General features: G+C 51.7%; 3 annotated features.

The window, feature by feature from the left end:
* Positions 4,831-5,542: an enhancer, noted in NCBI's record as "H3K4me1 hESC enhancer chr11:69612316-69613027 (GRCh37/hg19 assembly coordinates)". NCBI's record gives its function as "activates a minimal SCP1, AML or CMV promoter by ChIP-STARR-seq in primed H9 embryonic stem cells {active_cell/tissue: H9 hESC(primed)}" and the evidence as "EXISTENCE:reporter gene assay evidence [ECO:0000049][PMID:30033119]".
* Positions 5,543-6,253: an enhancer, noted in NCBI's record as "H3K4me1 hESC enhancer chr11:69613028-69613738 (GRCh37/hg19 assembly coordinates)". NCBI's record gives its function as "activates a minimal SCP1, AML or CMV promoter by ChIP-STARR-seq in primed H9 embryonic stem cells {active_cell/tissue: H9 hESC(primed)}" and the evidence as "EXISTENCE:reporter gene assay evidence [ECO:0000049][PMID:30033119]".
* Positions 8,253-8,783: an enhancer, noted in NCBI's record as "H3K4me1 hESC enhancer chr11:69615738-69616268 (GRCh37/hg19 assembly coordinates)". NCBI's record gives its function as "activates a minimal SCP1, AML or CMV promoter by ChIP-STARR-seq in naive H9 embryonic stem cells {active_cell/tissue: H9 hESC(naive)}" and the evidence as "EXISTENCE:reporter gene assay evidence [ECO:0000049][PMID:30033119]".

Below are 15,438 nucleotides of genomic sequence, written 5' to 3' on the forward strand. Positions count from 1 at the left end.
ACTCCGAAGGGGCCCAGACTCTGTCCATCTTGATCACCCAGGCCAGGAATGTGGTGGCAGAAAGGCCGTCGAGATGAAGGCCCTGATAGGTCCTGGGGCGGGGGCAGGGGATCTTCCTCTTACAAAGGATGTGGGTCACGGTGAGTGGTCTTGCCACAATGTGGGAGGACAAGCAACTCGAGGTGGCTCCTGAGAGATGGTCCTGAGGCAATCCGATCCTGTTGCTGCCTCCTTCACCCTCCGTGGCTCCCCAGTGCTGGATAAGAAGGTCTGATGGGTTTGGCTGGACTCTGGCTGCCTCTGCATAGTTCCCCACCCACCACGACCATCTGGCCACACTGCACTCCTCAGATTCCATTTCTTCTCTGCACCCCCTGCAAAGGCTGTCCCCACCTTCTCTGATGCCACCATTTCAAAGGCATCTCATCTTTGAAAAGCTGCCTGGCTCTCGTCCTCCAGGGCCCAGCAGGGCCACCCCCATCAGCACCACCCCCATCAGCGCTCTACTCCAGCAGGTGATAACTGCTGGTCCATGGTCTGCTTCTCCCATGACATCCCAACTCTTCAGTGTAGGGCCTGTCTGGCATAGCCAAGCCCTCCATAAATGTTTATTTGCTGAATTGACAGCTGGATGAATGAATCATCCTGCAAATACAACTTTTTCCCACTTAATAAATATATTCTACCATTTTCCCACAATATTAGATGATCTTTGTAAACATTGTGACTTCTGTCAAGAGAGCGGATATAATAGGCCATGGCTTATTTAACCACACTGCTCTGTTTCTAATATTAGATGATTTCCGAGTTTATTTCTATTATAAACAATGCTGTGATGAACATCTTTGTGTGTAAGTTTGTTTTTCTGTATTTTGGATGTGATTTTCTGAAGCAGAATCTCTGGATTTGGGGGCTATAAATTTAAAGTCCTCAAAAGTAAACAATAATGTGTTTTATATTTCAAAGTAGCTAGAAGAGGGGACTTGAAATGTTTCTTTTTTTTTTTTTTTTTTGAGAGAGAGTTTCACTTTTGCCACCCAGGCTGGAGTGCAATGGTGAGATCTCAGCTCACTGCAACCTCCGCCTCCCAGGTTCAAGCGATTCTCCTGCCTCAGCTTCCCAAGTAGCTGGGATTACAGGCGCCTGCCACCACGCCCAGCTAATTTTTGTATTTTTAGTAGAGACGGGGTTTCGCTACATTGGCCAGGCTGGTCTCGAACTCCTGACCTCAGGTGATCCGCTTGCCTCGGCCTCCCAAAGTGCTGGAATTACAGGCGTGAGCCACCGCGCCTGGCCGAAATGTTTCTAACACATAGAAATGACCAGTACTCAAGGTGGTCAGCACCCCAAACACCCTGACCTGAGCATCACGTGTTCTATGCACAGGGCCAGGCACAGTGGCTCATGCCTGTAATCCCAGCAGATGGGAGGTGGAGGCAGGAGGATCACGAGCTCAAGATTTCAACACCAGCCTGGACAACATAGTGAGACCTTGTCTCTATAGAAAAAAAAAATTAGCTGGGCATGGTAGCACACTCCTGTGGTCCCAGCTACTCAGGAGGCTGAGAGAGAAGGATCACTTGAGCCCAGGAGTTTGAGGCCTCAGTGAGCTATGATTACACCAATGCACTCCAGCCTGTGTGACAGAGCAAGACCCTGTCTCAAAACACACACCCACATTCTCACACACAGGTGTGTGCCACAAAAAAACCCACAAACACATCCTATGCATATAACAAAATATCACATGTACCCCATAAATAGTAAAATATTATGTATCAATTTAAAAGTGTCAGCTGATGCTGTTTGGAGCACACAGGAGGCTGCCTGTTTAACCAATCCTCACCAGCATTGGATACATTTTATGTGTGTGTGTGTGTTTTTCCTACTTTGTTTTGTCTTTATTAATTGGCAAGCAGGCAATGATACTTAACTTTTAGTTTTTAATAAGTTTTAATAAACATTTATTTTAGGCCAGGTGTGGTGGCTCACACCTGTAATCCCAGCACTCTGGGAGGCCGAGGTGAGCGGATCAGGAGGTCAGGAGATCGAGACCATCCTAGCCAACATGGTGAAACCCCATCTCTACTAAAAATACAAAAAGTAGCTGGGTGTGGTGGTGCGTGCCTGTAATCCCAGCTACTCAGGAGGCTGATGCAGAAGAATCGCTTGAACCGGGGAGTCAGAGGTTGCAGTGAGCTGAGATCACACCATTGCACTCCAGCCTGGGCAACAGAGCGAGACTCCGTCTCAAAAACAAAACAAAACAAAACAAAAACATCTATTTTAGAATAATTTTAGATTTCTAGAAAAGTTACAAAGACAGTGCAGAGTTCCTGTATATCCCATGCTGAGTGTCCCATTATTAACACCTTGTGTTAGTGTGGTGCACTTATTATAATTAATGAACCAATATTGATCCATCATTATTAACTAAAGTCCATGCTTTACACAGAGCGCCTCAGTTTTTCCTTAATGTCCTCTTTCTATTCCAGGATCCAGCCAGGACACCAATCGCGTGTAGCTCTCTCATCTTCATGGGCTCTTCTTGGCTGTGACAGTTTATCGGACTTGCCTGGCTTGGATGACAGCTTTCTTTCTTTCTTTCTTTCTTTCTTTCTTTCTTTCTTTCTTTCTTTCTTTCTTTCTTTCTTTCTTTCTTTCTTTCTTTTTCTCTTTCTTTTTTTCCTTCCTTCCTTCCTTTTTTCCTTCCTTCCTTCCTTCTTTCTTTCTTTCTTCTTTCTTTTGGAGATGGGGGTTTCACTCTGTCACCCAGGCTGGAGTGCAGTGGTGCGATCTCAGCTCACTGCAGCCTTGAACTCCCGGGCTGAAGCAATCCTTTCACCTCAGCCTCCAGAGTAGGTGGGATTACAGACATGCACCACCACGCCCTGCCAATTTTTAATTTTTAAATTTTCTGTAGAGATGGGTCCTCTCCATGTTGTCCAGGCTGGATGGCAGGTTTGTTTTGTTTGTTTGTTTTTTGTTTTTTTGAGACAGTGTCTCATTCTGTCACCCAGGCTGGAATGCAGTGGCGTGATCTCGGCTCACTGCAACCTCCACCTCCTGGGTTTAAGTCATCTTCTCGCCTCAGCCTCCCGAGTAGCTGGGATTACAGGCATGTGCCACCATGCCCAGCTAATTGTTGTATTTTTAGTAGAGATGAAATTTTGCTGTGATGGCCAGGCTGATCTCGAACTCCTGACCTCAAGGGATCCGCCCACCTCAGCCTCCTAAAGTGCTGGGATTACAGGCGTAAGCTACTGCGCCCAGCCTGGATGGCAGTTTTGAGACAGTACTTGGTTTCCGTTCCTGCGCTGAAGGTAACTGTGGGGCTGAATGCGGCTCCATGAGTTGCTTTGATGTTCGGGTTTTCTCCTCCGTGTCCCTTTATCTCCTGGGGGTCTTGGTAGCTTTCCTAGAAATGTGAGCGGCTGTAGAGGTTGTCAACATGAGCCCTTTCCTGTCCTGAGCAGCTCACACAGTTCATGCCGGTCTGTGGTCCTTTCACTTTGGGCCTGTCACCTGTCACTCCACGGTACTTGCTGATGACCTTTCCAGGAGACGGGTGCTGGCGGTCTCGTGGGCCAAGCCCTGGGGATATTTCTATTCCTTGGTTCTGTGGGAGTCAGGGAGGGCCTGAGGGGAGCAGGGAGTGGAGGAACCTTGAGGCAGGGAGGTAGTAGCTGCAGGAGCATCTCAGACAAACCCATTGAGAGCAGCGAGGGCCTCTTTTTCAGGGTGGGCCACAAGCAAGATCCCAACGAAAAGTAGCGTGGCTTCTGTACCTGCCCATAGAGCCACAGCCCCAGAGTTAGCCCCTGACTACACTCAGAACAAAATGCAGAGTGCCTGGCTCAGCCCTGCAAAGGCTGCCCTGCCTGCCTCCGTCATCCCAGCCCCTCTGCAGGTCCGAGGCAGCCTCCCTGCTGGCCTGGCTGCCCAGGGCCTGGGCTAGAACTCCTGCGCCCCAGGGCCTTTGCAAATGACGGACACCCTCCCTGCAGGGAGGCTCCTTCTTGCCACTGGGGTCTTCGCTTGATGTCACCTCTCTAGGCAGGTTTTCCTGGTCAAATTGCCACCTGTCTCCCCTGCTGTGTCCCTCTTGTCTGCTCAGGTTTTAGACATGTAGACATGTGACACACTCGCCACCACCTGGAGTGGCTCTGTTTTTTTTTTTTTTGTTTTTTTGGTTTTTTTTGAGGTGGAGTCTTGCTCTGTCCCCCAGGCCGGAGTGCAGTGGCGCGATCTCGGCTCACTGCAAGCTCCGCCTCCCAGGTTCACGCCATTCTCCTGCCTCAGCCTCCCGAGTAGCTAGGACTACTGGCGCCCGCCACCGCGCCCGGCTAATTTTTTATATTTGTAGTAGAGACGGGGTTTCACCGTGTTAGCCAGGATGGTCTCGATCTCCTGACGTCGTGATCCGCCCGCCTCGGCCTCCCAAAGTGCTGGGATTACAGGCGTGAGCCACGGCGCCAGGCTGGCTCTTTGTTGCTTACATTGTGTGAGTGCCTCACTGGTGTCAGCCGCACAGACCCAAGGGCCGGCCCATCCCACGTCCTCTCCCTGCAGGGGCCGGTGCCAGGCTGGCACAGAGATGAGGTCAGTGAGCAGAGAAGGACGCTGGGCCGGAAGAGTGGATGGCACCATGCAGGTCTTCCTCAAGATCAGTGGGATAGCACCATCTGCTGCTGGAGGCAGCCGCGCTGCGTGGCCACTGCCCGGCTCCATCCTCATGGACAGGGGAGCTGCGGATGGGGTGGGGCATGGAAGGGTGGCCTGGAGCTGGGCCATGTCACTCCCCAAGGACCAGGGGGTCACACTCCCCTTGGACCAGGACTCAAGTCCTAGCTTCATCCCTACTCAGCAGCCTCTCCTGCAGGACCCAGCTATCAGGGTGGCCGGCTCTCCGAGAGGCCCACCTGGTCGGTCTAGAGTAGACACCAGACCAGGGGTTGCTGCCAATGTCCTGCCTGCACAGAGACCCTAAGACCTTCTCACCTGAGTCTCTCACACTGCCAGCTCTGCAATGCTCCGTATGAGGGGTGTGGGGCTGGGAGGGGCACCGCCCATTTTATGGGAGGAACGAGGCTCACAAGGGCAAAGCACTGTCCCGCTCATGAAAAGGTAAGAGCCAGGTTGGAAACTGGGTCTGTCTGACTGTTCGACAGCTGCTTTAACCATGGAGACTAAGTGCTGTGTGACCTGGGGCAGATGGCTTCACCTCTCTGAGCTGTTCCCTCATTGGTAAAATGGGGATGATAGTGACTGCACACATCTCCTGGGATAATCCTGAGGCCTGAGTGAGAGAGCACACTTCCAGGACCCAGTGAGGCAAGCGTCACATCACACTGTGGCTTTTAGCTCTGGCCTGCGGGACTAGGACCGTGCTCCTCATCCAGTGCTCTCCCCCCTCTACCCAACCCCTCCTGGGTCATGACAAGGCTGCCCCTGGGGGAACTGCATCCCTAAGATCATGGAGGGAAGCTGATTTCTGAAAGGCTGATCCCTGTCTTTGTTCAGGCATAGGAATCCAGGGCCTCAGCTCTGGGCCCCAAAACCCGATCACCATCCCTGTGGGGTCTCCAGGTGGGTGGAGCATAGCTGGCACCTGGCCAGCAGGGTTTAGAGTCTCACACCTGTGCCGGGCTGGGTTTGAAGTCATGCTCTGGGGAAGGAGAACTGCCCGGTCCCCTCTGCCAGGGAGAAGCTGCATGGCTGGAGCCGAAGTCTACACAGGGCCTGGCTCAGATGAAAGTCCTGCCATGTGCCCGGTGAGGGCCCCTGGATGAGCCTCCTTAACCGAGTGCCCCAGGAAAGGCTACTAGAGATCAGACCTCCAGGAAGGCGGCAGATCAGCAACACATTGCACCCACTGTGCCTGCCAACACTATGGGAGGAGCTGAGGGCCCAGGCAGGGGGACTGAGCACTAGCATTCGGGCGTCGACCACCACTTCCAGTATCCAGGGCTGGGTTAGCTTGGCCAAGCATGTGTGGCCCGAGCACAGAGCCTGGTGCACAGCTACTCTCAGAGACTGCTAGCCCTACAGGCTTCCCTCACCCTCAGGACTGTGGTTCTTTTTTTTTATTATTATTTGAGACGGAGTTTCGCTCTTGTTGTCCAGGCTGGAGTGTAATGGTGTGATCTCAGCTCACTGCAACCTCCGCTTCCCAGGTTCAAGCGATTCTCCTGCCTCAGCCTCCCAAGTAGCTAGGATTACAGGTGCTTGCCGCTGCTCCTGGCCAATTTTTTGTATTTTTAGTAGAGACAGGGTTTTACCATGTTGACCAGGCTGGTCTCAAACTCCTGACCTCGGGTGATCCACCTGCCTTGGCCTCCCAAAGTGCTGGGATTATAGGTGTGAGCCACTGCGCCAGGTCAGGGCTGTGCTTCTGAGGGAGATGCTGGCCTGGCCAATGCCCCTTACATGGCCCCACCCTGGGGGGAGGTTGGGAGTGACAGGTGAGGGCACCAGCCCAAAAAACCTGCCGCCACCCAGGGAGGAGCCTCTGATGACAGCCACTCAGTGTCATGCTGGAAAAGCCTCTGGCGGAGGCCAAAAGGCTTGGGCTGGGGAAGCTCTCATGGCTGGGCCTGGAGTGGGACCAGCAGCAGTCTGACCTCCAGCAGGTGGTCTCTGGCTGAACTGGCAGTAAATAACATCACTCCCACAGTGGGGTCGGAGGACATCCAATTCACCAAGCATTCTCCTGTATTCTTGATATTTGAAGAAGCTGCCAGCAAAAAAACAAACAAAAATGAAACAAACAAAAAAACCACTTGACAGCCCCGGGAGGCACACAGGTGGGTGGATGAGGAATTGTGATGCCCCCTCTAAGGAGAGCTGTGGCACTGACAGTATCCCTTTTCTCTTTTCTCCTCAGGAATAGAAGCCCTGCGTTTTGTCTGGCACTGGCTGTCTGGAGTAAAAACTACATTTCCCAGACTTCCCTGCAGCTTGGAGTGGCCATGTGACTGAAGGCTGGCCAATGGAAGGTATGCAACAGTAGTGGGTGTGGCTTCTAGGAGATGACGTTGGAGGAAGGAAACCAACCCATCGTTTTTGCTACTGCTGAGTGGAATGTGGGTGGGATAGCTGGAGCCTAAGCAGCCATTTTGTACCATGAAGTCAAAGCTACATGACACATATGAAGGAAAAAGATGGAGGGACCTGGGTCCTTGATGAATCTGAGCAACCTCATCACCCTGGACTTCCTTTACATGAGAAACACCAGTTTTTATCTTGTTCAGGGTGCATGTATCTTAAGTTTGCTGGCCTGCATAGCTAGGCTGAATTCCACTATAACTCATAGAGGGAAAACAGATACTCTGGGAGGTTCAACTGGGACCAAGACAAACTGTGGACTCAAACCCACTGGGTTCTGAAAGCAAGCCTTTCCTGTGCACCTTGAGGTGGGCTGCAGGTCGGGTGAGCATTGAGAGGACCCACCCTGCTGCTGTGGGGTCCGGGATGCCCCAGATGAGGCCTTGGCGAGCCTCAAGCGGACCGTGACCCTCCACTCCCACTCTGGCCTGTCTTTCTCATACACAAGGCCTGAGGTGTCCCCAGACAGTGATGCCCATATTTCAGTGGCAATGCCTTCCCCGGAACCCCCACTCTGTAGAGAATGTGTGTATGTTGGGGGTGACAGTCACTATGCCTGGTGCACAGTGGCCTCTCAGACCCAGCCTCCTGTCTAAGCTCATCTCTCCCAGCTAGGGACTTCAGGCTTTACCCCTGGGCCTCAGTCTCCCGACCTGTAAAATGGGAATCATAATGGCCATCCTTGCAGGGTCACTGGGTGAATTCAGTGGATGATGGGTGAAAAGCACCCAGCCATTGCAGAGCACTTTGTACGCTAACTCAGTCGGCATTAGCAACCCATGGGGATGCCCCTTTAAATCGGGGGTTCCTAAATTCTAGGGCATCCAAACTACCTGGAGGGCTTGAAACACACTGATTACTGGGCATCATCATCAGGGTTCTGGTTCAGCAGATCTGGGGTGGGGCCTGAAATGCAAATTTCAAGAACCACTGGTTTAAATCAAGAACCCTAAGACAAGCCGAGCGCAGTGGTTCACGCCTGTAATCCCAGCACTTTGGGATGCCGAGGCGGGTGGATGACTTGAAGTCAGGAGTTCGAGACCAGCCTGGACAACATGGCGAAACCCCGTCTCTACCATGGGCCTGTAATCCCAGCTACTCGGGAGGCTGAGGCATGAGAATCGCTTGAACCCAGGAGGCGGAGGCTGCAGTGAAGTGAGATGGTGCCACTGCACTCCAGCCTGAGTGACAGTCTCGCTCTATGTCTCACACACACACACACACACACACACACACACACACACACACACACCCTAAGACGAAAAACATGGAATCAAGGAATCAAGATCCCGTTAAGACCACCTGGGCCCAAGACCAGCCGGGCAGCTGGGTTTGAATTTGGCTCCAGTTCTTGGAAGCTGTGTGGCCTCGGGAAAGCCTTTCTTCTCTGACTCACCTATCATATGGGGAGAATTAGAACTCAACTCAGAGAGCTGAGGTGGAGTCAAAGCAACATGGCGCCAGGTGGGAAAGGCACCCACTAAATGCTCCCCTTCTCCCTCTCCCCCCAACATTGTCATCATCATCATCATCATCATTTTGTATAGCTCTGCTGTCCATCCTTCCTCCAGTGGCAAGGATGAGCGCCTGCTGCATACCCTACCCAGGCCCCAGGCCCACTGCCTCCTCTTCCGTGCCAAGCCTGGCCCTTGTGCCTGGGGAGGGGGCCCTCTGCCTTCCGTGTGCCATTGGGGCATGCCGGGATGCCCAGGCACGGTCTGTCCTGACTCCTCCCTGACCGCCTGACCAGGGTGAATCAGCAGTCGCCACAAGCATGTCACCGGCAGAGAGGCGCCATTGCCCACCAGGTGGAAAGATGGATGAATGGAAAGACCCGGCGAGGTGTCCTCAGCCAACTCTGCTACACCTGAAGCTTGTCCCTGAGGTCGCTGCCATCTGCTGGTAGGCCTCAGTACTGCATGCAGGGGTGCCCTCCCAGACCACCTGGGACCACCCAGCCCCCACCTCCTATACCCCAAATTGTCCCCAAGGGTGGGGAGGGCCTGCCCAACCCCATTCTCCTAGAAAGACCTGCAGACCACGTGGCTGTGCCAGCAGATTCATTGAGGTATCATTCATATGTGATATCATTCACATACCATACAATCCACCTGTTTAAGGAGTACAATTCATTATTTGTATTCACAGTGTGATGGTGACCATCACCACCATCTATTCCAGAACATTTTCATCATCCCAAAAGAAACCCCATACCAATGAGCAGTCTCTCCACTTTCCCCATCAGCCCCTGGAAGCCACTAATCTACTTCCCATCTCTATGGGTTTGCCTATTCTGGACATTTCATAGGAATGGAATCGTAAGTGTGTCCCTTTGGTCTGGCTTCCTTCACTTAGCACCTGGCCCTCCAAGTTCATGCCTTGAGGGGGTGTAAGACGTTTCAGCACTTCATTCCTTTTGTCTGTGAACACCGTTTCATCCTAGGCCATAGCACTGTATACATATAGCATCGTATATGCTATCTACAGTAGACAGTGGATACGTTGTATTTATCCATTAATCACTTGGTGGGCATTTGGGTTGTTGCCACGCATTGGCTATGATGAATAATGCTGCTAGAAACATTAGTATACGGGTTTTTGTGTGGACGTGAGTTTGCACTTCTCTGGGGCATATACCTAGGAGTGGAATTGCTGGGTCATGTGTAACTCTCTGTTCTGCAGTTTCAGAACTGCCACACTATTTTCCCACTTCTCACTTCTTGGCGACTTCCTGTTCTTGCTCCCCTCCTTGGGCTCCATGTAATATAAACTTTGGAGCCTGAGAGATCTTGGAATCAGCCCTGACATGTCCTTCACTGGCTGTGTGACCTTGAGACAATTGCTTCATATCTCTAAGCCTCAGTTTTCTCATCTGCAAAAGGTGAATCATGACAGAATGTAGCAGACACTGGCGTTGTTCCACCCATAACCCTTCAGGCCTCACCCTTCTGCACAAAGAGGCCCCAGGGCTTCCCATCACAAGCCCTTGGATTTCTTGTCTGAGGGGAGCAGGCCAGAAGTTCAGGGAGTGTCTGTCCCTGGGAGTAGTCCTCAACCAAAGGCAGACTTGAGTTGGTGGAAATAAATAGCCCAGGTGCCTCACCTGCATGTGGGAGACTGATGGGGACAGCAGTGAGTGGACAATTAACTAGATAATTACAGATTATGTTGGGTTCTTTGAAGGAAAATAACAAGGCACTGTAAGAACAAAATGAGAAGGGGCCCCAGTTGGAGTAGGGTGGTCGTGGTAGGTCTCTCTGAAGAGGTGACACCTTTAGAAGTAAAGATTATGAAGGGACTCAACTAGTGAAGAGTGGAGGGAAGATTAGTCTCAACAGACAGCATGTGCAAAGGTCCTGGGGCAGGGGAGAGTTTGGGATTGACAGAGATATCAGAGCGCTTTATCTGGCCTCACAGCCTGTGAAGGGAGCTTTTAGCCTGGGGCCCAGGTTGACCTGACTCCAGGGCCTGAGATCCTAAACACTCCTCATGAGGCAGCCAGTTATTTCTCTGTCCTGTCTTCTCTGCCCTTCCTTCAGCCCTGCAATCTGAGCCTTTCCATATCCCAGGGCCAGCCTGTCCCCTGTGAAACTGAAAGATTCTGATGCACAAGGAGAGGTAGCTCCACCTCTGTCCATCCTGCCCAGCAGAGTATCTGGCATTTAGCTAGCTGTATGGGTGCCTGCTGCATTCTCTACCCAGGCTCCAGACCCACTGATGGATGCCCATATGCTTGCTGGATGGATGGTAGATGAGTGGATGGATGGGGGGATGAATGGATGGAAAGATGCATAGATGGATGGAAGGATGGGAGAATGGATGGATGGAAGGATGGGAGAATGGATGGATGGGTGGATGGATGGATGGATGTGGATGGATGGATGGATGGATGTGGATGGATGGATGGATGGACAGTAGATGAGAGGATGAATGGGTGAACAGATGGATGGATGGATGGATGGATGGATGATGGATGGAAGGACAGAAGGATGGATGGATGAAAAGATGGAAGATGGATTGATAGATGAATGGATAGTAGATGAGTAGGTGAATGGGTGGACAGATGGATGGATGGATGGATGATGGATGGATGGATGAATGAAGGATGGATGGAAAGATAGAAGGATGGATGGATGGATGGACAGTAGGTGAGTAGATGAATGGGTGGACAGATGGATGGATGAATGAAGGATGGATGGAAGGATAAAAGGATGGATGGATGGATGGAATGGATGAAAAGATGGAAGATGGATGGATGGATGAAGGCATAGTAGATGAGTAGATAAATGGTGGACAGATGGATGGATGGATGAATGAATGATGGATGGAAGGAAGGATAGAAGGATGGATTGAAGATGGATGGTTGAAAAGATGGAAGATGGATGGATGGATGGATGGATGGATGGATAGATGGATGATGGATGGATAAAAGATAAGTGGATGGAGGGATGATGAATTACAGTGCCTTTCTCTTGAACTGTACAAAACACAGATAAATGTATTTGTTTATCAGTGATAATAAATGAATTTTTAAAATTTCTGTCTTCAAACCAGCCTGCTCAAGGCATGAGAGCTCCCAGGATCTCCCAGCCCACCACCAACACTCCCTGTGTCCTCTAAACTTTTCCAATCATTCCCCACCTTCTGGGCCCAGGTCAGCAGCCCCTCCAGCAAGAGTGCTGCAGAAAGGGCACCTAGTGGAAGTGTGTTCTGTTTCTCTGCACTGTGCCTCCCCTGCTGCTGGCTAGAGAGCAGGGCCAGGCTTTCTCTTGCATCCTCTCATGGCTGTGTATGCAGCTATTATTTACAGACCTTTTACCATCTATGTGGCCTCAGCAGCTCTCAATGACCACTGTGGGAGCCCCACTTGACAGATGGGGACACTGAGGCTGGGGAGGGGCAGCGGCCAGTTCTGGGCCACGTGGCTGAAAATGCTGTCATGATCAAATAACAGAAGTGACTAAGGCCACATCTGAATCAGCAGGTCTGAAAACAGCACATGTGCTGGCTTTTTACCCACCCAGAAGCCTCTTCTCCCATGGTCCCCTTCCTTGTGTGGACACACAGCCGGCCAGGCACTCAGGCACAAGTGTAGGCTGCCCCTGGTATTCCAGCCGTTGCAGCCAAGTGGGGACAGAGGTCAGCTCCAGGGGCTATATCTGTCACAGCCCTGGAATGCTGAGGCACGGTGGCCCTCCGATGGGTGGGCGCTAATTATAGGCCTGCTGGTTCACCTTTCTGAGTCCTTCCACCCCTGGGAGGCAGGAGGCCTCTGAACCCACTGAGGAGTTCAAAGACCCGCTCCGAGCAGCTGAAGCTCGGGCACCCACAGCCGTCCTACCCTCCCCATTGAAGTACTGACTCCATCCGACGCAGAGAAGGTCAAGCGGGCTCCAGGGCTGGGATGCAGGGGGCCGGGTAGTGTGGGTCCTTAGTCTCTTGGCTTCACCCAGGCAAGGCTGTCTTCCCCTGTGGGGCAAGCGGGGAGTGGACCAGACCCCGGTCAAGCGCTCCCTCTGCCCATGTCCACCCTGGAGAGCACTGTGCAGGCCGACTGGGCAGGCAGGGGACCTACTGGCCACTCCAAGAGGACCTTTTCTTCCTTTTTTTCCTTCATCCAGCAATGGTGATTGGATGCTGCCAGTGCTCTCAACGAGCACTTTCCATGGGGAGGGCACGAAGATGAAGGACAGAACCACTGCAATCAAGGTGCTGCAAGAGTGTCACCATTTTAAGTGTGCAATTGAGTGCGTTGAGGACTTCCACAACCTGTAACCATCACCATTATCTACTTTCAGTACCTTTCCATCTTCCCAAACTGAGACTGTCTCACCATCAAACACTAACTCCCCATTCCCCTCCCCCAGCTCCCAGCACCCACCGTTCTACTTTGAGTCTCTCTGGATTTGACTACTTCAGGAATCTCATCTAAGTAAAATTGTATCATATTTTTTCACTCAACACAATGTCCTCAAGGTTCACCCATGTTGTAGCATGTGTCAATGTCCTTCCTTTTTTTTTTTTTTTTTCTGAGGCAGAGTCTAATTCTGTTGCCCAGGCTGGAGGGCAATGGCATGATCTCGGCTTACTGCAACCTCTGCCTCCTGGGTTCAAGCAATTCTCGTGCTTCAGCCTCCCAAGTAGCTGAGACTACAGATGCACGCCACCACCCCGGCTAATTTTTGTGGGTTCTTTGTTTGTTTTTTGTTTTTGTTTTTGTTTTTTTGAGATGGAGTTTCGCTCTTGTTGCCCAGGCTGCAGTCCAATGGCGTGATCTTGGCTCACTGCATCCTCTGCCCCCCTGGTTCTAGCGATTCTCCTGCCTCAGCCTCTCGAGTAGCTGGGATTATAGGCACCCACCACCACACTCGGCTAATTTTTTATTTTTAGTAGAGACGGGGTTTTACCATGTTGACCAGGCTGGTCTCAAACTCCTGACCTCAGGTGATCCACCTGCCTCAGCCTCTGAAAGTGCTGGGATTACAGGCGTGAGCCACAACACCTGGCCTGTGGGTTTTGTTTTGTTTTGTTTTGAGATGGAGTCTCCCTCTGTCGCCCAGGCTGGAGTGCAGTGGTGTGATCTCAGCTCACGGCAACCTCTGCCTCCTGGGTTCAAGTGATTCTCCTGCCTCAGCCTTCTTGAGTAGCTGGGACTACGGGTACTTGCCACCACGCCCAGCTAATTTTTGTATTTTTAGTAGAGACGGGGTTTTGCCACGTTGGCCAGGTGATCTGCCCACCTCGGTGATCTGCCTGCCTCGGGTAACCTCAGGTGATCTGCCTGCCTCGGCCTCCCAAAGTGCTGGGATTCCAGGCGCGAGCCACCGCGCCCAGCCATGTCTGTCCTTTTTAAGGCTGAATGGCATTCCATTGCATCGATGGAGCACATTCTATACATCCATCCCTCTGCTGATGGATTCTTGGTGTGATGGTTAATACTGTCAACTTGATTGGGTTGAAGGATACAAAGTATTGATCCTGGGTTTGTCTGTGAGGGTGTTGCCAAAAGAGATTAACATTTGAGTCAGTGGGCTGGGGAAGGCAGATCCACCCTTAATCTAGTGGGCACAACCTAACCAGTTGCCAGTGAATACAAAGCAGGCAGAAGAACGTGAAATGGCGAGATTGGCCTAGCCTCCCAGCCTACATCTTTCTCCCATGTTGGATGCTTCCTGCCATCAAACATCTGACTCCAAGATCTTCAGTTTTGGGACTCAGACTGGCTCTCCTTTCTCCTCAAGCTTGCAGACGGCCTACTGTGGGACCTTGTGATTGTGTAAGTTAGTACTTAATCAACTCCCCTTTATATATATATACATATATATATACACACACACATATTTTTTATATATATATAGGAGATATATATATAATATATATGATATATATATATAATAGGATATATATATATATATCTCCTATTAGTTCTATCCCTCTAGAGAGCCCTGACTAATACACTTGGCTTGTTTCCACCCCCAGGCAACTGCGAATGGTGCTGTTATGTACATGAGTGTGCACACATCTATCCATGATCCTGCTTTCATTTCTTTGGGGATATGCCCGGAAATGGAATTGCTGGATCACATGGTAGCTCTCTGTTTAGTGCTTTGAGGAGCCACCGTACCATTTTTCATAGACTGCATAATTTTTCCATTCCTACTCCTGACAGGTTCTGGACCCAAAATCCCAGAGACTCAATAGGCAAAGACCTGCCCCACCTGCTCAGCCTCTTTCTCTCCCTTCCGATTCCCTCTGGGTGACGCAAATGCAAGTAGGGAGGCCACTGTCCCTGGAGCCCCTGGGGCGGCCTTTCCTGACTCAGAGGGCATCTTCCCACAGAGCCACAGGTGTGCGGTCTCCAGGCACTGCCCGCCCTGAGCACACGTGGAGCAGGTGAACCATCTAACAGTGATGGGTGCTGGGTCCCAGGACCCTCTCACCCCCATACCCTTTTCTTTTTCAGGAGAATTCTACCTGCCCCCAGCCCCTCCTGTGTGTAAGGAAGCAGGAGTTCCCACCGTGGCACCGGAAGCAGCGGGCACCCTCTGACCCCTCCCAGGGAGCCCACGCTCTCAGCCTGGGGCCCGCCTTCTCTCCCCTTCCCCTCATCCAGCAGAAGCGGGGTCGCTCTCCTTTTGGAGGCCAGCAGGCCCCTTGCCCTCTGTGCCTGATGCTCAAGCTGTGGTAACACAGCCCCACACAGGGTAGGTGGCTCAAACAGACATTTATCATCTGCAGGACTCTGGGCTGGATGTCCAAGACTGGGGTGTCGGCAGAGTTGGCTCCTTCTCAGGGCTATAGGGCAGAGTCTGTTCCTTTCTTGTCCTTTAG

The sequence above is a fragment of the Homo sapiens genome, chromosome 11 (genome assembly GCF_000001405.40).
Source record: "Homo sapiens chromosome 11, GRCh38.p14 Primary Assembly".
NCBI lineage: Eukaryota > Metazoa > Chordata > Mammalia > Primates > Hominidae > Homo > Homo sapiens.